This window comes from Homo sapiens, chromosome 2 (genome assembly GCF_000001405.40).
Source record: "Homo sapiens chromosome 2, GRCh38.p14 Primary Assembly".
NCBI lineage: Eukaryota > Metazoa > Chordata > Mammalia > Primates > Hominidae > Homo > Homo sapiens.
The window spans coordinates 74,716,909-74,743,337 of record NC_000002.12 but is presented as its reverse complement, the minus strand read 5'-3'; the positions used below and the strand labels follow the sequence as shown (position 1 = coordinate 74,743,337).

The window sequence follows — 26,429 nt, the reverse complement described above, 5'->3', positions numbered from 1 at the left end:
AGTGAGTTAGAGAGACAATGATCTCAGCAAGACCGAGGCAACAGGATTAGAGCTGAAGCCGGTCAAGAACCGCACCTGTGCTCACATGTGTGCCAATAAAGTTAAACAAGCTAGTAGTGTTTATACTTGAGGGGATCAACTTTGGAATTAGAAAGGATTTTCCAGAAGGGGACAGCCAGGAACTGAGGAAGAAGAACTTTTGAGAGAATATATGGCAGGGACAGAGTAGCCTGCGCCCTAGGCTAACTGTACCATTGGATCCTAATTAACTTGGGAACATATCTTAGTCTTATGGACTATTGTTCCCTCCATTTACAAGGAGGTATAATACTAGCTGACATTTAGTAAATGCTTGCAACATCCCAGGTGCTATATTAAGCACTTTGCATGTGTGTCTAATTTAATCCTCACAATGAATTAGGGTTCTATTATAATTCCCATTGCCCAGATGCAGAAACTGAGGTTTACAGAAGTTTAGTTATTTGCTACCATAAAGGAGTGATACATTTTGCAGGGGAAATCTTCACAGAAGTGGTGACGTTGAAGCTGTCTTAAAAACCAAGTAGCTATTTGTCAAGTAGGCAGCACCAAGAAGAGGAAAGTGGACAGGGGGGCACTTTAAGAAGAGGGATCAGCTTGTAGCAAAGCTCAAAAACAGGAAATGACCTGGAAAAGCCCACTGGGATTAGACTGTGAAAGGCTATATAGGGAGTTGGACAATCATGCATCATTGGAATCTTTTTGGTAGGAGAGTCACAGGATCAGATTGGTTGGGTGGACTAATGATTTTATAGTGTCTTTTGGAATAATGTTTTATCTTCTTCATTTATTATGGCTACAACTTACTCTTTTTTTTTTTTTTTTGAGATGGAGTCTCACTGTGTCATCCAGGCTGGAGTGCAGTAGTGTGACCTCAGGTCACTGCAACCTCTGCTTCCCAGGTTCAAGCGATTCTCCTGCCTCAGCCTCCTGAGAAGCTAGGACTACAGGCATGCGCCACCACACCCAGATAATTTTTGTATTTTTAGTAGAGACGGGGTTTTGCCATGTTGGCCAAACCTGACCTCAAGTGATCCTCCCGCCTAAGCCTCCCAAAGTGCTGGGATTAAAGCTGTGAGCCACCGCGCCCGGCCAATTTGATCTTAATTCTCCACCAGTTGCATCTTACTCCCTATTTTATTACCCTAGTGTAGTGTATATTTGTGCCACCTATTTAAATCCTCTTGGGAAGGAGACAAGAAATAAACACCTACTTACTTATAAATACATGAGGACGTACACCATATAGGTGGCATGCAGATCAGGGAAGAGAAGATGTCAAGAGAGACCAGGAAGAGGGCATTGGAGAAACAGACAGAGTAGTAAAGAGATGGGTCACAGAAGCCAAGAGGAGAGAGCATTAGAAAGAGGGAGCAGCTGGCTGGCAGCATGTCACATGTTGCCAAGAGGTTAAATTGGATGAAGACTAAAAAAAGGCCTTGGGATTGAGCGATGAGAAGGTCACCAGGGACCACAAGGACACTTCATTGCCCTATTGCATCAGACACAAATGAGAGATGAAGAAGTGGAAGCAGCAAGGACAGACATACAAGTTCAAGAAATTTGTAAGCAGGAAGAAAAAAGAACCGTGGATTAAGTGAGGGGAGGAGGCTTTTATTTTCTTGTTTTGTCTTGTGGTTTTTAGGGAGTGGATGCAAACACAGATGGGAAGGTAAGCTTCAACAGGACACTGCCAGGAAGAAGCATGAAGAAAGAGATAAACCCAGAGGCGGAATGAACCCTTTGGCAGTGGAGATATCTGACCATGGAGATGGTGAGAAAGCTCAAATCTCAGTTCTGGCTTTCCTTTGCATTTATAGCTGAAGGACTGACATGTGCATGGTGATTGGAGGAACCCAAGAAGTGAGTTTCTATCCTTTCCCCTACAGAAATACTGTGGGAGGCATTGCTCCAGAGGTAGACTCCTGGCACTCCTATTCCTGCCCCGCACCCTCACACACACTCAGTGCACGTCCCCAGGGACAGTCCCTTCTCTGGGCCTTATTTTTCCTGCCTGAGGCTCCTGGTGGGAGTGATGCTACCTTGGGGGAGTCTCAGGAGAGGAAGTGGAGCACACAGGCAGGAGGGAAAAAAGGAGGGAGGCAGGAAGAGCATAAACCAGGGCTCGGCTATGCCAGCTCAAGGCTCAGGAATTCCATATTCTAATTCCAGCTTCTCTTAAAGGGCTGGGTTCTCTCTGATTGATGGATAATTCCTGTTCTGCCTATTCTGCAATCATGCTTCCATTTCCATTCCAAAGATGAACCCAAAGAAACTTGTATCCAAAAAAAGGCTTAAAAAGTAGTGGTGACTCGGAAGGGCGAGGCCCGTGGCTGCTGGCAGCATATATGTCATGCCACCTATTCCTGCGTGCTTACATAATCGCAGTGCAACCGTGACTCACAGCCCGACAGCCAAGCTGAAACGTGATTAAGTCCTACAACCCTTCTGCCTGGAGCAGGGCAGGGCATGCTGTTTAACCCCTCTGCTGCCACAGCCTGGTGAGAAGGTAGTGCCCTTCGGTAGAAGAGCTCCTCCAGATGGATGAGTCCAACGCATTGGGAAAGGACCCCTGACCTGCATAAATACTTCTCTGAGACAGCAGCAAAAGGTCTTTCATTCCACAGATACAAATATTCCTGGGAGAGGTGACACATGGAATCCCTGCGTTTTAAAGCTGAGAAAACTTTAGACTTACCCAAGTTGAGTCATCCCCTTTAACAGACGAGGCTACCGAGGCCCAGTATCTAGTGAGAGATTAGTGACCACTCAAGGTCACAATGTGAGATAGCAGCAGAGTGGGGACTTGAACCTGGGTCTCCTGGCAGCAAGTCCAAAATGTGGTAGCCCTGACAACCCATTGAGAAGATTGCCCCTCTATATTCCAGGCTGCCAGCCAAGTGGTTCCGCACTTCACAGTAGCCTGCGTGCACCTGCTGTCTTCATACAGCCCTAGCAAGAATGACCCCAAAAGGGTTGTTCCTTAATCTCCAAGCTCCACTTAAAAGTCTCACAACTGGAGTTCTGGGGAGAACAGTATTTGGATTCAGGTCGAATCTCCAGCTCTGGAGTCTGTCCACATGGATGTGGTTGTGTCTGACACTTCCTAGCTCAGTGACTTTGAGCATCTATTTGAGTCTCAGTCACCTCATCTGTGAAATGGGGATAAAAACAGTAGTGCTGTTGTGAAATCATTGAAATAATTTGTCAGAGGTGCCTGTCACAGTGCCTGGCATGCAGTAAGTGCTCACAAGTGGTAGCTGCTACTCCAGTGTTAGAAGCACGGCTGCCTTCACGAACGACAGGGAGTTCCCGCTGGAAGCACTCAGAGAATGCTGCCTTCAGGCTGACCCCCAACACTCACAGGCTTCATGATAATCTCAGTGCAGAGCTTCTCTATAAAGACCTCAAAGCTCCACCAGCCAGCTAGACACTGTGTGACCTGAATCCTGTCCAGGCCCCTGCCTTGCTGTTGCTGACATCCAGATGAAAAGATCTGGATTGCCACATCCTACCTGGTGTTATCTCTGGCAGTGGCAGCAAAGGATTGTCTGATGGGGAATGGCTCCACAAAAGGTTAAAATGCCATCCCCTTCCCCAAATGTCTGTCCTGGTTTCACTTAATAACCAAATGATTCTGTCATCCAAGGGTTCATCTAGATAAATGATTGCAAACAAATCTTTTATTTTTATAATTGTCCTATTGAAACATGTTTAAAGCCTGTATTCTAGGGGAAGGGAAGCTATAAATATTAACAGTAGTGAGAGAAGCACTGGACTGGGGACAGCAGGAAGAGGGGAAGGGAGGGTGAGGGGATGGCTTGAAAATAGAGAAGAAAGTAAAAGCCTGCACACTGAATGGTTAGACCCCCTCACCCTTCCCCTGCTTATTTCCAAGAATGCTGGCAATCAGGTTCATATCCTCCAGCAAAGAGACTAGAGAATCTTAATCTGGAAAATTGAATCATACTGGAAGAAAGCCATACAGATCCTACAGATACTGACATTTGGAAGTGTCTCAGTGCAAAAATCCTGTCATTGCACAAATGTACTGTAGCAGTTGGCCTCAACCCTATCAGACTCAACACCTTCTTTTTTGTTGTTGTTTTTTAACAGCTTTATTGAGGTATAATTGATATTCAGTAAAGTGCTCATGATTAAGATGTGCAATTTGGAAATTTTTGACATATGCATGCACTCATGAAATGATCACCAAAATCAAGATTTAAAAACACAGCCATTCCCCAGAAGTTTCCTTGTGCCATTCATTGCCATTCTCTGTCCCAGTTTCCATTCCCAGGCAATCACTGATCTTTTGGTCACTATAGGGTTAGCTTACATTTTCGAGAATTTTATAAAAATTGAATTATATGACATTTGAGATGGAGTCTCCCACTGTCACCCAGGCTGCAGTGCAGTGGCATAATCTCTGCTCCACTGCAGCCCTCACCTCCCACGTTCAAGCAATTCTGCTGGCTCAGCCTTCCAAGTAACTGGAATTACAGGCACCCACCACCACACCCGGCTAATTTTTGTATTTTTAGAAGAGACATAGTTTTGCCCTGTTGGCTAGGCTGGTCTTGAACTCCTGACCTCAAGCCAGGAGGTCAGGCTCGATCATCAGGTCAGCTGATCTGCCTGCCTCACCCTCCCAAAGTGCCGGAATTACAGGCATGAGCCACCAGGCCCGGCCAATATGTCCTCTTTTTGTCTGGCTTCTTTCAGTCAGCATAATTATATTTTGAGATTTGACCATGTTGCAGGTACCTTCAACTTTCTTTTTAAAGCAAAAATATTGAAATACCTCTTTTACTATGTGAAATTAAATTCATAGTTAAAATAATCAACCTACACATTATTTTCTTTAAATTATAATGTCCTTACGAAGGAGAAAAAAAAGGAAAGTAGTTCACGGCCCAAGATGGTTTACTAAGTAGGCACATGGGCAGCATACCTGGGAGACATAATGAAACAGTTAGATGCTTTCATTTTTTACAATGAACAGTCCAACCTTAAAAGAAGTTAGACCATATTCAACTGAATATTGTTGATACCATTGTTCATTTTATTTTGTCATATTTCTTATATTTGCCATCTTGAAATAAGATCTAAGTTAGTGCATTGGAACCCCTCTGGGTAAGAGGGACAATTGCAAACCTAATTTTTGCAATTGTAAAAATTATCTGCATATTTGATCATGAGCAGTGCTGTTGCCATTGACATGTTTTTCTAAATGGTGACAACCCTTGGTTAAGTTCTAAACAAAACAAAGTCCAGTCTCCTCTCAATTTACATAGTAGCTGCATTTTAAAAAATCACAGGGTATGTTAAATCCATGTGAAAAAAGTATTTGTATTTATATATAAAGCAGAGCTGATATCAAGAATCAAATCATTATAAAGAGCTTTTCACCCACATAACTGTGCAGTAGGACATAGAATAGGACACAGACAGGGTTGCCAGATTTGGCCCATAAACATATAATATTTGAGACATACTAATACAAAAAAATGTATTTGTTGTTTATCCAAAATTCGATTTTAACTGAGTGTCCTTTATTTTAGGTGGCAGCCCTAGATACAGGACAATCTTTGTTTTGTGGAACTGTCCTGCAATCCAACTAGCATTCTTGTCCCCCACATATTAAATGTTAGTAGGCCCCCCAATAACTGTGATAACTAAAAATCCTCACAACTTTCCAAACTGCCCAGGAGCTGCCCCTACTGAGAACCACGGTCCTACAAAGGAGATCACCAGAAGCAAGCCCTACCCCTGCCCATAGAGCCCACATCAGATTCTTAGTGATTGACTCAAATATTAATGAATGGTTAAGGATCCATAGACATCTGAAAAAGACCCCCAAGGTGAAAAACAAAGGCCAGAACAGACAGAGAAAAGGGACTTGAAGAAAAGAACAAGAAGAAAAACAACTTTAGAGGAAAAACTGTATGTATTCTTTGGAGAGATAATAGCAAGAAGAGGATGCTATAGAAGGAGGAGGAGGAGAAACAGGAAACCTATCAGAGAAGTTGGAAATTAAATATGATAGCCACAGTCAAAAAAAAAGTCAATAGGGAGGGTGGAAGGTAAATTCAAGGGAGTCTCCCCAAAAACAAAACAAAATAACTAGGAGGTAAACAATAGGGAAAGAAAATGAGCCAGAAAATTAGAGGATCAATTCAGGGAGTCCAATATTCAAGTAATAAGAATTCTAGAAAGAGCAAACAAAAACTTGAGAGAGAAGAAATTTATCAAACAAATAATAATTTTTAAAAATGCTTCAAACAAAAAGATTAAAAGAGCCCATCAGGTACCAGAAAAAGAATATAACTTCTGCCATGATCATATTTTAGAACACCAAGGAGGAACAGAAGTTTCTAAAGAGAAAAAAAATTACATCCAAATAACTAAGAATAAGAATGGCCACTTCTTAACCGTAACAGAAAAAGCTAGAAAACATAAAGCACTGCTTTCCAGGTTCTGAAAGGAAAAAAATTATTTTCAGTCTAAAATTCTATACCCAGCCAAATTATCAGTCAGGCATGAGGACAAAGGAAAAATACAGGCTTGAAAGATCTCAGAAAACTTTGCTTCCACGGACTCTTTCTCAGGAATAGTTATTTAAGAACATGTTCCATGAAAATGAGAGGGTCAATAAATCAAAAAAAAAGAAAGACTTAGGATCCAGGAAATGAGATCAAACACAAATAAGAGTCAAAAGGGATTTCCAGGTTGATGAAGGGAAGGCCTAGAGCCATGCTGCACAGCTGTTTCCAAGAGCAACAAGTCAGCCTGAAGCAAGAGGATGGAGTCAGGAAAGTTATCTGGTAAGTTATTTAACAATGGGAATAATCATGTTCAGATACTACCCAAAGGAAACAAGTAATTTAAGCAAATGGATGGAAAGGCAATTATTAACCCTAGGAATATCCAAAAATGTATAAAAATAAAACATTATAATATACTCCTTTGCTCTGCAATAAACAATATTTACATAGTCATAATAATATAACATTTTATAATATAAAATAATATAATGAAATAATATATAAAAAATATAAATCTGAAATCAGAACAGAAAGAAAGTTATATCTCTTGTAGTTCATGAGAAAGCCAAAAGATAAAGTTTAAAATTGATGCCTCAAACCAATGATACGCACATATCAAATAGAATAAAAATAGAGATAAACGGCAAAGAAAAAAACTTAATAAGAATAAAGGAGTGGATGGGGCAGGAGACTGCTGTTTTTTCATAGGAGACTTCTGTCATTAACTTTTAAAGATATGTGTGTACTGCTTAGATAAAAGGAAAAATTAATTTCAAGAAATTAATGGCTGTGGTGGAAGTAGTCTGGAAAGGTTCCAGCAGGAAGAGCTGCTACATTCTGTCACTGAATTTAATCATTGAGCTACTCTCGACCCTGGGATGAGGCCAAGTAGACAGGCTCCTTTGAAAAGGGAAACCAATGACTCCTTCTGATTAGAGAAGGCTCGGAGGAGAGGGGGTTTGGGAAGGACCCTGCTGTGCACACCTGCCATGGCCATAATCTCTCTCTCTTATTCAATTTTTTGCCAAGTCACTGGGAGCAGGAAGCTGCTTTTTCTATTATATAGAGCAACAAAGGGGATGAGTGGTTTGATAATGAGGACTGATAACTGTCTAATACAGAGAAAGCCTGGGCTTCCCAAAAGCTTTAAATTACAACTTTGATCGCACTGATCAGGGTTCTTGAAGTTGCAGCTGGGACATAGAGAAGCCACAGAAGATGCAGTCTGAATGTTTTCTCAAACACAAAGAAAGACCTGGAGTCAGATTAAACAAAGATTTCCAGCTATTGAAGCAGATCAGTGGCGGGGGCGGTGGGGAGGTGGGAAACTAAGAGATGTTTCTGTGTCTTCAAATCTTATTATAAATTGCAGGTTGCCTTGTGTGTAAAGTGGAGATTAGAAATCGTTTAATTGCTGTTCAGTTTTAATGGAGAGTTTTATTTTAGTCAGAAAAAAACACAAATGGGTTATACAGGATGTGATAGTTTATGACTCAGTTAACCATACTTAGGAAAAACCTGTCTGCTTGGATCATAAGTCCAAAAGCCAGCCTCCACTATTCACACAAGTGGCAGCTTTACCTGGGCTACAGGCCTGGTGCCTAGGAGGAGCAATCACCTTACAGTGGCATTGCCTAACCTAGGACTTGGTGAGAAACAGCGTGTCCCTTCTGAGCCTGTGTATATTTTCAAACTAGGCTGTCTCAAGCCAGATGTATTTGTATATGTTCATCACAAATTCTGATTGAGGTAATGCTGACTTGATTCTGCAGACCAAAATTTACTGCATCTCAGATCTGTTTCAACAACTATTCCATTAAGATCCTTTGAACATCACATCTAATGTCCATCCAGTTAGGTAGTGTGGGGGTTGGGGTGGGAGGGGTTGAGGCCTGGCCTTCTCACCCCAGCTCTGCACAACTCTGAAAGTCACGTCTAGCTTCATCACTCTCTATAGGATCCATTGAGGGCGTTGTAACAACATCATAGCCAAGTTCTCCCTCTGCTCAATCCTGCTTTCTTCCTGCTTCCTGATTTTAGGAATACTTCCTAATTCATGTGTGCATACTAATCTCTAAAAAACAAACAAACAAACAAAAAACCCAGAAAACTCTTTGAACATTTAGTAAGAGCAGTAAAGATCTACAAACCAGAGATTATGGTCGTCATTTCCAAAGAGGTTTTTTTTACCAGACTTTGGCTGGTTTTTCATAAGCTGTTTTAACTAGATGCTAAATATCCCCCTCAAAGTTGATTTGATTTGGAAAAAAAAAAAGACAAAAAGATGGGCTCAGGACATAAATACAATGTGCAGTTCTACCCTCAGTAGAATGAACAAACCTAAATTCTCAGAGGTATCTTACATGACTTTTTGTGACTCCACAGATCTGAAACCACTATCTCAAACTGCAGAGCTCTTGGCTCCCTCAGATAACCTGTGGCAAAATCTCCCCTCATTACTGATGAAGTTTGAGATTTTCCTGGACTCTGGCTACCGTGGCCTGACCATTAGTCAAGAGATAGTCAGTCAGGGCCTCTTGTGCTCCCTGGGGGTATTCATGGTGGAGGAGGATATTAGCAGCATGGCTGTCTACACCAGCAATTCTTACAGCAGGTCATGGTGGAGTTCACGGGCGTGCACATGTGAGAAAGAAAAGGCCTGCCTCACTCCCTCTGTTACCTGCCTTCCAACTTCCTCTAGGAATAACATGCTAACAACACAACTTCCTCCACTCGGGTGACCACATACTATTCAATTACTGCTAGACTAGCACCATGTATTAAGTGATTAACATGTGCTAGGCCCATTTCTTATCTTATTCAATTCCCATAACAATCTCCAGAGAACATGGGTACCCTTTCCCAGATGAGAAAACAGAGGCTTTTAGAGGTTAAGTAATATGCCAAAGACCACATGGAGTTGGTATTCAAACTTATGCAATCTGAGCAGGCATCCTGTTTCTATTTATTTATTTTATTTTATTTTATTTTATTTTATTTTATTTTATTTTATTTTATTTTATTTTATTTTTATTTTTTAGATGGAGTCTCGCTCTGTCGCCCAGGTTGGAGTGCAGTGGCGTGATCTCAGCTCACTGCAAGCTCCCCCTCCCAGGTTCATGCCATTCTCCTGCCTCAGCCTCCCAAGTAGCTGGGAGTACAGGCATCCGCCAACATGCCCGGCGAATTTTTTGTATTTTTTAGTAGAGACGGGGTTTCACCGTGTTCGACAGGATGGTTTCAATCTCCTGACCTCATGATCCACCCGCCTCAGCCTCCCAAAGTGCTGGGATTACAGGCGTGAGCCACCACGCCCAGCCTTCTATTTATTTTTTTATAAATAAATTCAACTTGGGTTTCTGCCACAACCAAAAGAGTGTCATTCAATACAGAAAATTAATGTGATGGGCAAAACACGAAACCACAAAGCCAAAAGAAGAACAGGCAGCTGGGTCTCAGAAGCTTCTGCAGCCGCAGGGTCACACGCTCAGGGCTTCACCCCTTGTTTCTATTTCTCTACGTGTGTTGGTTTCTGGCACTGAGTGGTTGGTGATATTTTGGACGAGGATAAGTGTTTCTGTATTTCTGAGATTAAAGGTGATTTTCAATTTATTTTAACATTTTTTCTATCACTTTTTTTTGTTTTCTGCAATAAATTTATTTCTTATGTGATTTTTTAAAAGGCGTGAAGAACACAAATAAAATCAAAACAAACTCCAGAGTGCTCACTGTTCATCCCCTAACTGCTAACAATCCCAGAAAATACATCGGGCAGACTCCTAGATGCAAGAAAAGTGGACTGAATGTGGCTGGATAATATGCTGAAATGTCCTTTTTTTCTCTCTCTCTCTTTCTCTCATTTTCTTTTTCCCTTCTTCTTTCACCCCAGTTTAAGGAGTAGCCTACTCCATCTCAGAGGAGGTATGTCATGGGGCAAAATATAAAAATAATATGCAAAATACTTTCCTTCCTGGATTTTAATCCCAAGAACTTAAACAATAGAGAAGGGAGAAGAATTGAGGATGAAGGTAGAATATGTGGAAAAAGCATGAGCAGAAAAGGATTTCCTCAAAACTCAAAAAAAGACTTGCCAGGGAGGGAGTAGGAGGCAATAGTTACCAAAAATTAAGCTTTTTCTTCATTATTTTTTTTTCTTCTCCCCGCCCCGCCACCTTTTTTTTTTTTTTTTTTTTTTTTTGCTAGCTCCATACTAAATAATTATATAAAACTTTTTAAGGCACATTTCTAGTAATTCATACATTGAAGCATGTAAAATTATACATGGAAAGCACTGACATAAGGAAATATTTCAGCATCAACTGCAGAAGCACCTGAACAGGCACCCCCACCAAAAATATTTAGGAAGCTCTGCAGAGAGGAAAAAAGCTATTCGATCAAGGATCTGGGATTATTTCTACTTTGAAACTACTCATTATTAGAAATAACTACAGAGTTCTAGAGACAGAGATTAAGAAATAAAGTCCTGCAAAGATATATTTGTTACTCTGCTTTCTTAAGAACTTATGGGAATTACACATTAATGTTTTGTTTTTGGTTTTGTTTTTCCCCTGCATAAATGCCTCTGTTTTGGTTTCTGCTTCTCAGCTTCTGAATGTCACCCACCAAGAAGCTGTGAGCTGGATGCTCCACAGATATGATATACAGAGCCTTCCCTGCTGGCCTTTTTCCTTCCATCTGGAGATCAGCCCGGGTCCATAGGTAAATCACATCTTCCTACCTAATAATGACCAACTGCTAAAACCCAGGTAAGAGTACAAGGCTTGGAATTGGGGAAAGGGAAAAGGCAGCATTTTATCAGCTGATTCAATTTTTTGTTTGTTTTAAAGGCTTTTTAAAAATAAACTTATTTTGGAATAATTTTAGAAAAATTACAGAAAAGTTGCAAAGATAATACAGAGAATTATCATATACCCCTCACCTAGTTTCCCCTAATGTTACCATCTTATATTACATGGTACACTTGCTAAAACTAAAAAAAAAAAAAAAAAAAAAGGGTACATTATGATTAACTAGCCTTTATTCAGATTTCACCAGTTTTTCCACTAACATTCTTTTTCTGTTCCAATTCAGGAAATCACATTGCATTTTGTGATTTATAATTTTTAAGTTTAAGCTCTATTTTTACAAAAGTTAACATGTCCACAATTGAAAAAGGAAATGATCATACATGACTTATGAAAGGCAATCTTCTGCCCAAACCCTCCTTGCTTCTAATTTTCTCCTTCCAACAGCAAACAATTTCAACTTTCTCACTTTTTTCACCCTCTCTCCCTCGGTCCAGCCACACTGTTCTCTGAACATTCCTCAAGTATGCCAAGCCTATTCACATTTAAGGCCAAATCTTTGCTCAAGTTTTCTCTTTGTCATGTCTTCTTCCCAATAAAGTCTACCCAGACAGACCACTCTATTTAAAATTGTGGAGACTTCTGGTTCTGAAATGGCAGAACCAGAAACGAGTGTAGAAACAAGCTGGTGTAGAAACAAGCTGGCTTCACTCACCCCAAAGAAAACCAAGATCAAATATACAGTGCTGAGATTATCACTAGCAATAAATTATAACTCAAATATGAAGATGAGAAAGTTCTCCTGGCCTCAGAGAAGCGAAAAAAACTCCAAGCAGATGGTAAGAGACTTGGACTTCCATATCTGTGACACCCCTTTCCCCAGTCTGCCTAGCACAAAATGCATAGAAAATTTCCCCTGACGCATGGTTTCTACACTGGAAAAAGTGAGTTGGGGTGGACAACCAGCTTGCCCACCCTCTTGGTTCTCTGTCAGGAGACCTGTCCCTGCCTCAAACCACAGGATGCACTGGGAGTGCTTGAAAGGAGAAATCACCCTAAGGAAACTGAGGAGGCAGGACTACCATCTCCAGCTGTGAAAACTGCTCTCAGCCAAAGAAGACACCAAATTAGAGCAGCACCACACTGTAGGTTTGTTCCACATATCCTTGGGCATAAACTCTTAACCAGCCTTTCGATATTACCAGGATATTCCCCCTTGAGACCTACCCCATTCAGTACTGGTGGTACTCTGGTTGTTTAATAGAACCAGGGCAAACCCGGGCTTAAGGCACCATTTAGTGCCAAAAAGGAGGCAGCAACCTAGCAGTGGAACATAAGAAAGAAAATCAACTGATAAATTACAAAGAATCTCTAAGCAAACATACCCAATAAAAACCAAAACAAGCCAGACAAAGAAGACTGGAATAACTAATCCTTCAATGCAAAAACATAGACATACATCCACAAGAAACGGCAGCCAGTAGAGTGCTATGACTGCCTCAAATGAACAAAGCAAGGAACCAGTAACTGACCCTAACAAGATGGTGATATATAAACTCTCTGACCAAGAATTCAAAATGGCAGTTTTAAGGAAACTCAGTAATTTCCAAGATAACATGGAAAAGCAATTCCAAAATTTGTCAGAGAAATTTAACAAAGATATTGAAGCAGTTTTTTAAAACACAAATCTTGCGGCTGGGTGCAGTGGCTCACACCTGTAATCCCAGCAGTTTGGGAGGCCGAGGCAGAAGGATCACTTGAAGCCAGGAGTTTGAGACCAGCCTGGCCAACATGGTGAAACCCCATCTCTACTAAAAATACAAAAATTAGCTGGGCATGGTGACGCATGCCTGTAATCCCAGTTATTCAGTTGGCTAAGGCATGAGAATTGCTTGAACCTAGAAGGCGGAGATTGCAATGAGCCAAGATTGCACTGCTGCACTACAGCCTGGGCAACAGAGTGAGACTCTGTCTCAAAATTTAAAAATAAAATAAAATAAAGTATAAAAAATCACAAATCTTGAAACAGAAATACGTTTACTGAACTGAAAAATTCATTAGAGGCTCTCAACAGCAGAATGGATTAAGCAGAAGTAAGAATCAATGAGCTCAAAGACAGGCTATTTGAAAATACACAGAGGAGAAATGAGGAGAAAAAAAAGAATGAAAAGAAATACAGGTCACCTACAAAATATACAAAACTACCTCAAAAGACCAAATCTCTTTTTTTTTTTTTTTTTTTTTTTGAGATGGAGTCTCACTCTGTCGCCCAGGCTGGAGTGCAGTGGTACAATCTCGGCTCACTGCACTGCAACCTCCCCCTCCTGGGTTTAAGTGATTCTCCTGCCTCAGCCTCCTGAGTAGCTGGGATTACAGGCATGCGCCACCTTGCCCAGCTAATTTTTGCATATTTAGTAGAGACGGGGTTTCACCATGTTGTTCAAGCTGATTTTGAACTCCTGACCTCATGATCCACCTCCCTCGGCCTCCCAAAGTGCTGGGATTACAGGCATGAGCCACCGTGCCTGGCTCAAAAGACCAAATCTAAGGATTACTAGTGTTCAAGAGGGAATTGAGCAAGAGCAAGGAATAGAAAACTTACTCAAAGAAATAATAATAGAAAACTTTCCAAAACTTGAGGAAAAGATAAATATCCAGATACAGGAAGATCAGAGAACACCAAACAGGTATAACCCAAATAAACTACCCCAAGGCATATAATAATCGAACTCTCAAAGGTCAAGGACAAAGAGAGATCCCTAAAAGCAGCAAGAGAAAAGAATCAAATAACATATACAGGAGCTCCAATTCTTCTGGCAACAGACTTCTCAACAGAAACCATACAGGCCATCAGGGAGTGAGATGACATTTTCGAAGGGCTGAAAGAAACAACAACAACAACAACAACAACAACAACAACAAAAACTGCTTACCAAGAATAGTTGTAACCTGCAAAGCTATCCTTCCAATATGAAAGAGAAATAAAGGACACACACACACAAAAAAAGAAAACTGCAGGCCAATATCCCTGATGAACACAGATGCAAAAATCCTTAACCAAACCAAATTCAACAACATATTTAAAAAGATTCACCATGATCAAGTGGGATTCTTCCCAGGATACAAGAATAGTTCAACATACGCAAATCAATAATGTGATACATCACATTAACAGAACCAAGAACAAAAACCACCTGATCATTTCAATAGATGATGAAAAAGTATTCAACAAAATTCAACATATTTTTCTAATAAAAACCCTCAACAAATTGGATATAGAAGAAACATACTGCAAAATAACAAAGGCTACATATGACAAACCCACAACTAACAGCAAACTGAACAGGGAAACATTGAAAACCTTTCCTCTAAGGTCTGGAACAAGACAAGGATGCCCACTTTCAACATTTTTTTCAACATAATACTAGAAGTCCTGGCCAGAGTAATTAGTCAAGATAAAGAAAAAAAGGACATTCCAAATGGAAAGGAAAAAGTCAGACTAGTCTTATTCACAGAAAACATGATCTTAGAAAAACCTAGACTCTACTGAAAAACTGTTAGAACTAAAAACAGATTCAGTAAAGTTGCAGGACACAAAATCAACATACAAAAATCAGTAGAGTTTCTATATGCCACTGTGAACTATCTGAGAAAGAAATAAAAAAAGCAATCCCATTTACAATAGCTACAAAAAAAAACCTAGCAATAAGTTTAACCAAGGATATGAAAAATCTCTAAAACTATAAAATATTAATGAAAAAAATCGAGAGGGACACTAATAAATGGGAAGATAGCTCATGTTCATGAATTGGAAGAATTAATATTGTAAAAATGTCCATGCTATCCAAAGGGATCCACAGATTTAGTGCAGGTTCTATCAAAGACCAAAGACATTCTTCAGAGAAATAAAAAAAAAAATACTAAAATTTGTATGAAACCACAAAATACTTCAAATAGCCAAAACAATCTTGAGCAAAAAGAACAAACCTGAAGCCATCACACTACCTGACTTTAAAATATACTGCAAAGCAATGGTACTGACATACAAACAGATGCATAGACTAATAGAACGGAATAGAGAACCCAAATATAAATCCCCACATTTGCAAACAACTCATTTTCAACAAAGGTGCCAAGAACATACAATGGGGAAAGAAAAGTGTCATCAATAAATGGTGCTTGGTAAACTAGATAACCAAATGCAGAAGAATGAAACTAGACCTTTATTTCTTACCACATACAAAAATAAATTCAAAATAGATTAAAAATTTAAATCTAAGATCTGAAACTATGAAACTACTAGAAGAAAACATTGAGGAAATCCTCAAGGACATTTGTCTGAGCAAAGATTTTTTTGCTTTCTGAGCAAAGACCCCAAAAGCACAGGCAAGCAAAGCAAAAATAGACAAATTGGTTACATCAAGCTAAAAAGCTTCTGCACAGAAAAGGAAACAATCAATCAACAAACATCATATGTTCTCACTCATATGTGGGAACTGAAAAAGTGGATCTAATGAAGACAGGGAATAGATTGGTTGTTACCAGAGGCCAGGAAGGCTAGGGGGTGAGAGGGATAAAAAGAGGTTGATTAATGGGTAAAAATATGCAGTTTGATAGAAGAAATAAGACCTAGTGTGTGATAAATTAGTAGAGTGGCTATAGTGTACAATAATCTATGGTCTATTTCAAAATAGTGATAAGAGAATAACTGTTTCTAGCATAAACATTGTTAAAATGTTCATACTAACCAAAGTGATCAGAAAGAAAAGCATAAAGAACAGATATTTAAGGTGATGGATATCCCAATTACACTGATTTGATCTTTACAAATTATATGAATGGGATAAATTATTGCATGTACACAGAAAATATGTAGCTATATTTTGTGTCAATAAAAATAATAAGGCTCAGCACAGTGGGTCACATCTGTAATTCCAATACTTCAGGAGGCTAAGGTGAGAGGACTGCTTGAAGCCAGGGGTTCAAGATCAGCTTAGGCAACATAGTAAGACTGCATCGCTACAAAAAAAATAAACAGCCAGGCACGGGGGTGCACACCTACTGTAGTGCTAGCTACTTGGGGGGCTGGTGCAGGAAGATCACTTGAGTCCAGGAAGGACTTCAGTAAGCTATGATCACTCCACTGCACTCCAGCCTGGGTGACAGAGCAAGACTTTGCCTCAAAATAATAATAATAATTAATTAATTAAAATTAAAAATAGCCTGGGCACAATGGTTCACACCTATAATCCCAGCACTATGGGAGGCTGAGGTGGCCAGATGGCCTGAGGTCAGGATTTCAAGACCAGCCTGGTAAATATGGTGAAACCCCAACTCTACTAAAAAATACAAAAATTAGCTGGGCGTGGTGGCAGGTGCCTGTAGTCCTAGCTACTCGGTAGGCTGAGGCAGGAGAATCGCTTGAACCCAGGAGGCAGAGGTTGCAGTGAGCCAAGATCATGCCACTGCCCTCTAGCCTGGGTGACAGAGCAATACTCCATTGCAAAATAAATAAATAAAAATAAATAAACTTATAGGCCAGCTGTGGTGGCTCATGCCTATAATCCCAGCACTTTTGGAGGCCCAGGTGGGCAGATCATCTGAGGTCAGGAATTCGAGACTAGCCTGGCCAACATAGCGAAACCCTATCTCTGCTAAAAATACAAAAATTAGCCAGGCACCTGTGGTCCCAGCTACTCAGGAGGCTGAGGTGGGAGGATCATTTGAGCCCAGGAGGCAGAGGTTGCAGTGAGCCAAGATCACGCCACAGCACTCCAGCCTGGGCAACACAGTGAGACTACATCTCAAAAAGTTAAAATAAAATAAGATAAAATTATAATACACCTCACCCATGCACTCCCAATGTCCCTTACTCTAATTCTTTGTTCTTTTTTTCCACATAATGCCATATACTTTATTTATCTATTTATTATGTATATTGTTTATTATTTCTCTTTCCCTACTGGAAGGTAAACACCTAGAATAGTGCTGGGCCAGACAACAGTCTTTAAATAAATATTTGTTGAATAAATGAATGAATGAACATTGAGAGAGAAGTAAGCAGACAGGAAGATGTTCTTTCTGTCTTCCTCCTCCAACTCTGCAGCATCCCTCTAATTTCCATACTGACAGAGCCTAACATGAAGACAGCCAGCAAAGAAGAAATGTGGTTTGCAGCGTTCCAGCCCCAGCATCACAGAGCAGAGTGTAAAAAGGTGAGCTTATGGCTGAGAAACAGTGTAATAACTGAAACACACACACTCAATTTTCCTGCACTAATCTTCCCAATATAGTTATATTTCCATTTTTGTTTAAATTTATATTATTCTTTACATTATTTTTAATATAGAATATTATTTGCCGCTGAGTCATATGGTGTGCAATGATTACATTTCCTTTCTTACACAACTTTCTGTTTTTCCAGGATTTAATAATTGCTTATCTTTCTTCATCTCAATTTCATTCCCCAAATTCTCACATAACACTCCTCTCAATACAGTCAAACACATCAGGAACCTATCAGCTCATTTTTTTTCATGACTAGATGCTTCAGTGCAGTCCTCTGTCCTCTTGTATTTTCATGTTTAGCTTCTTTGTTTCTAAGATTACTTCTTCCCCTATTCTCTAACAGCCTCTTGATACAGTTTTCCACATATTCATATGTATCTGATGATCCATCTATTATTTTGTTTTCCTTCCCCATGGAGCCCTGTACCTCTCCTACTGCAGACTGGATTGTTTCTTCTTGAGGCCTGCTACACAGCTGTTCTGGAACTTCCCTTCCCCAGCATTATTCTGAATGTCCTCTCCTGTGTTGAATCCCATATTTCCCAGATCTCAATCTTCCTCTTTCCTGGTTTAATCATTTTTGAGGCTCACATTCTCCAGTATCTTTCTGAGAACGAATGCACAGGATATAAGCATTTTGCATGTCCGAATTTGTCTACTGTAAGACTTTATGGATGGTTTGTCTGTGTAAGAAAAATCTAAATTCAAACTACTCTCCTCAGTATATCAAAGGTATTGTTCCATGGGCTTTTAATTCCTCAAGTTGCTATTGAAAAGTCTTATGTTACTCGGCCTCTCACTCCTTTATATGTATCCAATTTTTCTTTTTTGTGCTTCTCTCTGGACTTTAGGACTTTCCTTTTTTTCCTGTGTTTTTTGTTTGTTGTGGTCTCTGGTGATCCATGACTGTTCACTCATATGTGAAAGTGAGAAACCAAAAGGCCGACTGATAGTTCAGTGCATGTGAGCAGGGTTTGTTGATTGTCAGGTCTTGCCTTGCTATAGGATGATTAGGTGGGGACCCAGCGATTTTGTTGATGAGTCCTTTCTGTCAGTATTTTCTTTTAGACTTGTCAGTTTCTCCAGATAGAAGTGACTGTGTTTCTTGTCTTAGGTATTCCTGATGACGGTGAACTGTAAGGAGGGGAGCCTGCTTGGCTTGTGAACTTTTACTTAATACCGCTCTTCAAATACAGTGCTTCTGCTCTGCCCTCTGCCATACTGAGTCCCCAATTCCCTGGCCTCTTCAGTCAGCCTCTGCAGAGAAGACATTCGCCCCAGTGCCCTGGCAGAGCAGACAATCACCTGGCTGCGTAGAGTGAGGAAGGAGCTGTAGAAGCCTAAGCGTCTCATGCCATTCTCGTTTGGAGTCACATCCTGAACCGCTTCCCAGTTCTACCACCTATGGCCCTGAAGTATCACGTAGGGAACTCAACTTCTCCCTCTGAGCTTGGAAGACCTTTGAAACACATAGGATGTCCAGGGCCCTCTTGGCCCTGGGATTCTATGATCCATGAACCTTCAGAAGCTAGAGAGCTCTGCCTAGGTAGTAACATAGACAGGAAGATACAGGAGGTGAAGAAGGGCAAGGTGACAGTGGGATAGAGTGGCAGGAGACTTCAAAGAAAAGGTGGGATGAGAGCAGGACAAGAGCCAGTTGGAGGAATAGGAGAGGGAACGCCTCCTCAGGTGTCCAATACTGGGGCAGGATCGTCACAGCATGCTGGGGGCTGGTAGGCAAAGGGTTCTAGAATAATAAAGTGGAAGAGTAAACTTCAATTAGAATGTGGAGAACTTGAATTTCTTTTTTACATTAGCAAACCCCACAATCAAAGTCGTCTAGAGATTTGTTTTCAGTGCCAGAGACCCTACCCCAGACTTTAAATCAGAATATCAGAGAAGAGCCCAGGAACCTATATGCCTTTAAACTTTCCACGTGAGTCCAATAAACTGGCAAGTTTTGGAACCACTTCCTTAGGCAATGGAGAACCATGGATGGTTTGTAATCAGGATGCATGATAGAAGTGGAAATTCTAGAAAGATGAATTTGACAGGCATACGCAAGGTGGACTGGAGGTTGAAGGACATGTGACAGGGATTCAAGGGAGGAAATTTCAATACTTCACAAAGATGGTCATGAGAGTCTATAGGAGGTAAGTGGTCAGGGAAAAGAAAGAAGAGACTATACCAATCCTTCTTTCATGGATTGAATTATGTATCCCCCAAAAATTCATAGGTTGAATTCCTAACCCTTAGTACCTCGGAATGTAACCTTATTGGGAAATAGAGTCACTGCAGATGTAATTAGTTAGGTTAGATGCGGTCATAGGGTGGACTCTAATCTAATAGAAGGGGGAACTTTGGACACACCAGCATGGACAGCCATAGAGGGAAGACGATGAAAAGCAAAGTAGGGAGAAATGGTTATCTATCTACAAGCCAAGGAGAGACGCCTGGAACAGATCCTTCCCTCAAAGCTAACAGGAGGAACCAGTCCTGTTGACACCTTGATCTCTGTCTTCTGGCCTCCAAAACTGTAAGTCAGTAAACTGCTAATCACCAGGTCTGTGGTACTTTGTTATGGCAGCCATAGGAAACTAATACACTGTCTTTTTGGAAACACATTCCTGCCTTCAACTACCTCTTCCTCACTTTCTCTTGAGGAATGATTTCTCAAAGCCACCCACCTGAGAGGGCTGGAAGCAGTGGTTACAGAATGAAGCATGTGTTTCTAACATTATAGGATGCCTTTTTACTGGAGGAGTGAGTGTGGGGTAGCTTTTTGGAGTCCTTGGCCAGTTTGCTCCCAGAACCTACCTGAGATATCAAAGAACTGACTTGTGATTGGACCTTGCTGAATAGAAAAGATGTTATCTCTAGGAGAAGCAATTCACATTCTCCCCACCTGAGAAAGGAATTGGTGCCAAGAATATCAGACAGTGGGTAAACCCCCAGAGGAGAAGGGAGACTCATTTCTTTGGAGCCACTACCGTCCCACTGGTGGCTCATCCAGATGTTAGAGCTGCAAGAGGAGGAACAATCTACAAAAAAAGGTAAACTCTCATTCTATCATTTTGTGGCTTGGCCTATGCTGAAATAACTATCTTCCTTGGCTAAACAAAGAATTTCCAAGAACCCAATACATGAAGGTCAATGTCATGGTGGCTGATATAACCACATGGGACCAAGCACAACCACATTCCTGGCCTCCCTCACTGTCCTGCTCAGCCTGGACCCACACCAGCTACTCTGCACTGCCCTTGCTAACATCCTTGGGACACTTGGCCCTTTTACCTGCCAGTGTCCCCAGTGGCAACCCTCACTCTAGATCACCCACCACCTGCTCACTCCAGGATTGCCCACTTTTGCTAGAAAAAGTGTCATAACTATACCACAGGACCCGCTAAGTATTCCCACTCCACAACCCTATCTGGGCCCTTCCTGCTTCCATGGTTATCCATCTGGAGTTAGCTTCCTGTTGCTTCCCTCCCAGCCCTTGCAAAGAATTCTCTAGGCTCCATGAGTCTTCAACTCCATCCCAATGACTCTTACCATCAGCCAAGGATGTCACTTCAATTTTCTGGTCAAGTGAAAAGTCTTCAGGCATCTACTACCTCACCTCTGTTTCTCTCCACTTTGGAGTTTCTCTATGTTAACATCACTCCTTTTCTGTATTCCTCCTATTTCAGAGGAAGAGGTGGTGTTTTAATTTCCTTGACCAGGCAAACCCATCTGTTCTGGGTCCCATTTTATTATACCAATAATCTCATTTTTAAAAAATTTTCTTACAGAGCATTTTAAATACATACACATAATTTTATTACCTTTTTATATCTTCAAAATTCTCTGGCTTATTTCACTTGCAAGCTCAAGTCTCTTCCAGCCTTAAAAACAAAACAAAAAATAAATAAAAAATAATCTTAATCATTCCACTTCTTTGAGCTACTTCCTAATTTCTTTCCATTTTTTAAATGGCCACTGTTTCCAACAGGTTACCTTTTCTTTCTCCTCTTTGTTTCTTAACTTTCTACAATCTAGTTTCAATCTCTATCACTCCACTAAAATTCTTCTTTCTTTTTTGTAACTTTGTTATTTTGAAATTTCAGTTTTTTAAACAAGTTTGCAAAAAACTGTGAAGAGAGTTCCCATATATCCTTTGTCCAGCTTCCCCAAACTTTAACATATTACATAACCATAGGACATTTATCAAAAGCAGGAAATTAACTTTCAGACAATACTATTAATAAAACTATAGGCTTTATTAGAATTTCACCAATTGTCCTCCTGTTAATTAATTTCTAAAGCCATTCTTTTAAAAAAGTTTTCTACTAAAGTCATTTTAAACTTTGTTTTACTTCATAAATTCTGAATATAAAATTAAGGAATAATGAGTGGAAAACTTAGAAAATATGAAAAGATATAGGCCGGGTGCGGTGGCTCACGCCTGTAAGCCCAGCACTTTGGGAGGCCGAGGCGGGCGGATCACGAGGTCAGGAGATCGAGACCATCCTGGCTAACATGGTGAAACCCCGTCTCTACTAAAAACACAAAAAATCAGCCGGGCGTGGTGGTGGGTGCCTGTAGTCCCAGCTACTCGGGAGGCTGAGGCAGGAGAATGGCGTGAACCTGGGAGGCAGAGCTTGCAGTGAGCCAAGATCACGCCCCTGCACTCCATCCTGGGTGACAGAGAGAGACTCCATCTCAAAAAAAAAAAAAAAAAAAAGATATAAAGAAGAAAAAAAACTACCCACAATCTGGCCAGAGATAAAGCTTCTAATCTACAGGGCATACCAGGGACAGAAGAACATGTTAAATACCACCATGGAAATATCAACACAATTCAGACGGTGGATTTATTTTTTATTTATTTATTTATTTTTTGAGATGGAGTTTTGCTCTTGTTGCCCAGGCTGGAGTGCAATGGCACAATCTTGGCTCACTGCAACCTCCGCCTCCTGGGGTTCAAGCAATTCTTCTGCCTCAGCCTTCCCAAGTAGCTGGGATTACAGGCATGTGCCACCACGCCTGGCTAATTTTTGTATTTTTAGTAGAGACGGGGTTTCTTCATGTTGGTCAGGCTGGTCTCGAACTCCTGACCTCAGGTGATCTGCCCGCCTCAGCCTTCCAAAGTGCTGGGATTATAGGTGTGAGCCACCAAGACATTCAGTTCCCAGGGGCAGGCAGGAGACAGTGGCCTTCCTCTATCTCAACTGCAACGGGCTTTCCTCTTTCACAAATCCACCTCAACACAGACCCTTTACGGGTGTCGGGCTGGGAGACGGTCAGGTCTTTCTCACCCCACGAGGCCATACTTCAGACTATCACATGGGGAGAAACCTTAGACAATACCTGGCTTTCCAAGGCAGAGGTCCCTGCGGCTTTTCACAATGCATTGTGCCCCTGGTTTATTGAGACTAGAGAATAGCGATGACTTTTACCAAGCATACTGCTTGTAAACATTTTGTTAACAAGACACATCCTGCACAGCCCTAAATCCCTTAAACCTTGGTTCCATACAACACATGTTTTTGTGAACTCAAAGTTGGAACAAAATAGCTGGGGCAAAGTGGCTGGGGCAAAGTTACAAATTAACAACATCTCAACAAAGCAATTGTTCAAGATACAGGTCAAAATAGAATTCCTTATGTCTTCCCTTTCTACATAGACACAGTAACAGTCTGATCTCTCTTTCTTTTCCCTACAACTGTGGATTTCTTCAGGAAAAAAAATTCAAGGAAAAATAAAAGAGATGAAAGGGGAATCTGTAACTTAAAAAGATGTTCATAAGCTAGATTAACCAATTGCAAAAGGTGAACTTTGTGTGGATTCCAATTTAAATAAACTACAAAAATTATAAGACAATCAGGAATCTGAAAATCCTGAATATTTATTTAGTAATGCTAAGAAATTATTGTTATTTTTAAAGCATGATAATACTATGCTTACATAAGGAACATTTATTTTAGATATAGCTATTGAAATATTTAAAGATGGAATGACTGCTTCAAAGTAATGGGATGGGGGAAATAGGTGGGGGTATAGGCGAAACAGATTGCCATGCACTAATAATTGTTAAAGTCAAAGGATGAGTAAATTAGGTTCATTAAAACGTTTTCTCTGCTTTTGTGTATGATTTGAAATTATCCATTGTGAATGCTTTTTAAAAAAAAATGAATCATCTATTCAACATTCAAAGTCATTAAAAATAAATTTAGACTTTTTTGCCTTAGTTTTTCAAATACATAGCACAAAGAATCACATCGTTTAAGTCTGGCAAATACCAGCACAAAAGACCTTTTATATCCACCTGTGTCCTCCAGGTCTCACTAACCCAGCCAATATTTCCCTTGTCTGACTCACTCCCAAACTCTGCCCTACCCAGGCTGTTCTGCCTTCTTTGCCTCCTTCGTGACCCTTTTACTCTTGCCCTTTGCTACCCTCTTCCTGATCTTCCCTGGATCCTTCATGCAAGTAGCTCCAAGCCCTTTCTAATTTGAAGCAATCCAGTCTTTCAAATTCCAGTTCCATGGCTCTGCTCATAACCTTCTAATTCCATGGCTCTGCTCATAACCTTGCTTCACTCAATAAAAGCACAAGAGCCTGGCAGAGAACAAAGGAAAACTCCCTAGTATATGTTAATATTCTGTTTGTGTTTAAAAGGTAGGCAGACAAAATAAACTTGGAATTATGTTTTATAGACATAATTGTATCCTCTCTTACGCTTTAATTTCTTTCTTTTTCTTTCTTTCCTCATTCTTTTCTTTAACATTATATTATAAACACTTTGCCAATTCCCTGTTCTTTGAAAACCTGGTTTTTAATGTCTGTGGAATATTCTGTCACATACATGAGCTGTAATGTATTTATCTCATCCTCTTTTGTTAGATCCAGTGACCCCTTAGTTGCCAAAGAAATTCAGTCCTCACCCTCCTTGACTTTCTACAGTACTTTGACACTGGTGACCACGCTCTGCCTTAAAATGTTCTCTCATTGGCTTTCCTGATATCCTCTCAATCTCACTCCTCTCTGACTGGTCATTCTCCTGCCTTCTGTGACCTGTCTTCCTCCTGCTCCCTGAATAAAATCCCTCCCCAAGGTTCCATTAGATTCTTTCTTTTCCTCTCTTTACTCTCATTCCCTAGGTGGGTTCTTTCTCCCTTGGCTTCACGTGAAGGACTCCCAGATCTTACAACTTCATCCCTAACCCCTTCCCAGTGTCCCAGACCTGCATCAACCCTGTCTGTTGTGCATGTTCACCAAAATATAGCCCAGTGCAGTCCCACCAACACGACTAAGCAACCAAAAGGAGCTATCCAGAAGCAGCTCAGCCTGCCTCCTCCCACCTGACCACAATGCTGCATCTCCTCAGGATTCAGCTCAATGCCTTGGATTCACCACCAACCCTTTCCTTCACCGTCCACTTCACCAAGTCACCAAGCCCTAAAGAATCTACTTCTGACATGTCTCCCATGACAATTTCTTACTTTGGATTCTCACTGCTCCATTCAGACTGTGAATAGGGTCAACAATTTTCATCTCCCATTTGCATTCACCTCCTACTTGGTCTTTTCTCCTCCTCCTCTGTCTCTGTTCTCTCCAATCCATCTTACCAATCAATCTTCCTAAAGTCTGACTTTAGTTAGGTGACTTACCTGTTCAGTAATCTTCAGTGGCTCCCTATTACTTAACCAAATTGAATTCTGACATTTAAGGTACAATTTAATAGGACCTGCCAAACAATTTCCCTAATCTCACTTCTCTCTTCTTCCCACACATATCTTGGAGGGGGAATAGCATGGCTCCAGAGTCGAATCCCAACCTAGTAGTGCTATAGCCTTGGGTAAATTATTTAAGTCATCTGAGCCTCTGCTTCCCCATCCATAAAATGGTAGTATTAGCAGCATCTACCTCATGTGTGATTATGAGGATAAGATGAAAAATATATATATAAAGTAAATAATATCCAGCATACAGTAGGTTCTTGATAAATATCACTTACTACTTTTATTGCATCACTGCAGTCAAACTGCATTGCTTGGTTTTCCCATATAAATTTTACGACTTATTTCCCCTCCTAATTTTGCTCCTACTCTTCCCTCTGCCTAACTTTGACACAACATCTTTGCCTTCTGAAAGCACCTCCTAGACTCTAAGGCCCTACTCAGGTGCTGCTTTCTCTGTGAACTTTTCTTTGACCACCAGCCACAGGAGCTCTCTTCTTGCTCCTCTGAATGGTAGCGCTCTGCTTCCAGCACTCTGAGGCATTTATACTGCCTTCTGGTGAGCTGTGTGAATGCTTTATCTCCTACAAATCAGGGCAGGACCATGTCTTCCTCATGTTTAATTTCCTCTACACTGTCCAGCACAGGATCTGGCACAAAGTTGAAACTCAGGAAACTTTAATGGAAAGATTGAGTGGATGACATTTCCTGTTTCTCATCAATAAAGTTTCATCTTCATACTCAACTGTTAAATATTTATTGTCTCTTTTTAATACATCTTATTAAGCCTAGGATTAATCAATATGGTTCCTGTTCTCTCAAAGCTCACAGCTAGTTCAGATTATACTTTCAGAAAGTAGAATGAAAACAAGTCAGGGCAATATTTAACAATGTGTTTAATCAACTATAATCAAATTTCATAATGTATAATCTAGACAGTCATTCCCGGGTGGTCAATCTAGGGAGGAGTCTGTAGGAATTAGAAGGTGAGATGGGGAGGGGCAGAGGCAGAAATCTTCACCAGAAGG

The 26,429-nt window shown here is 40.6% G+C and overlaps 1 long non-coding RNA gene across 3 annotated transcripts in view, besides 1 other annotated feature; it reads right to left on the bottom strand.

The window, feature by feature from the left end:
• LOC102724497 (uncharacterized) overlaps nt 1-26,429 on the bottom strand; it is a 39,767-nt gene that overhangs the window by 11,728 nt on the left and 1,610 nt on the right. For all 3 annotated transcript variants that reach the window (XR_427047.5, XR_001739541.2, XR_001739542.2), the window contains exon 2: nt 21,505-21,564. This is a non-coding gene — a long non-coding RNA (uncharacterized LOC102724497). The remainder of the gene's footprint in view (nt 1-21,504; nt 21,565-26,429) is intronic.
• Nucleotides 1,946-3,145: an enhancer, noted in NCBI's record as "P300/CBP strongly-dependent group 1 enhancer chr2:74967320-74968519 (GRCh37/hg19 assembly coordinates)". NCBI's record gives its function as "activates an origin of replication core promoter dependent on BRD2, BRD4, P300/CBP, MED14 and CDK7 cofactors, with strong dependence on P300/CBP, by STARR-seq in HCT116 cells {active_cell/tissue: HCT116}" and the evidence as "EXISTENCE:reporter gene assay evidence [ECO:0000049][PMID:35650434]".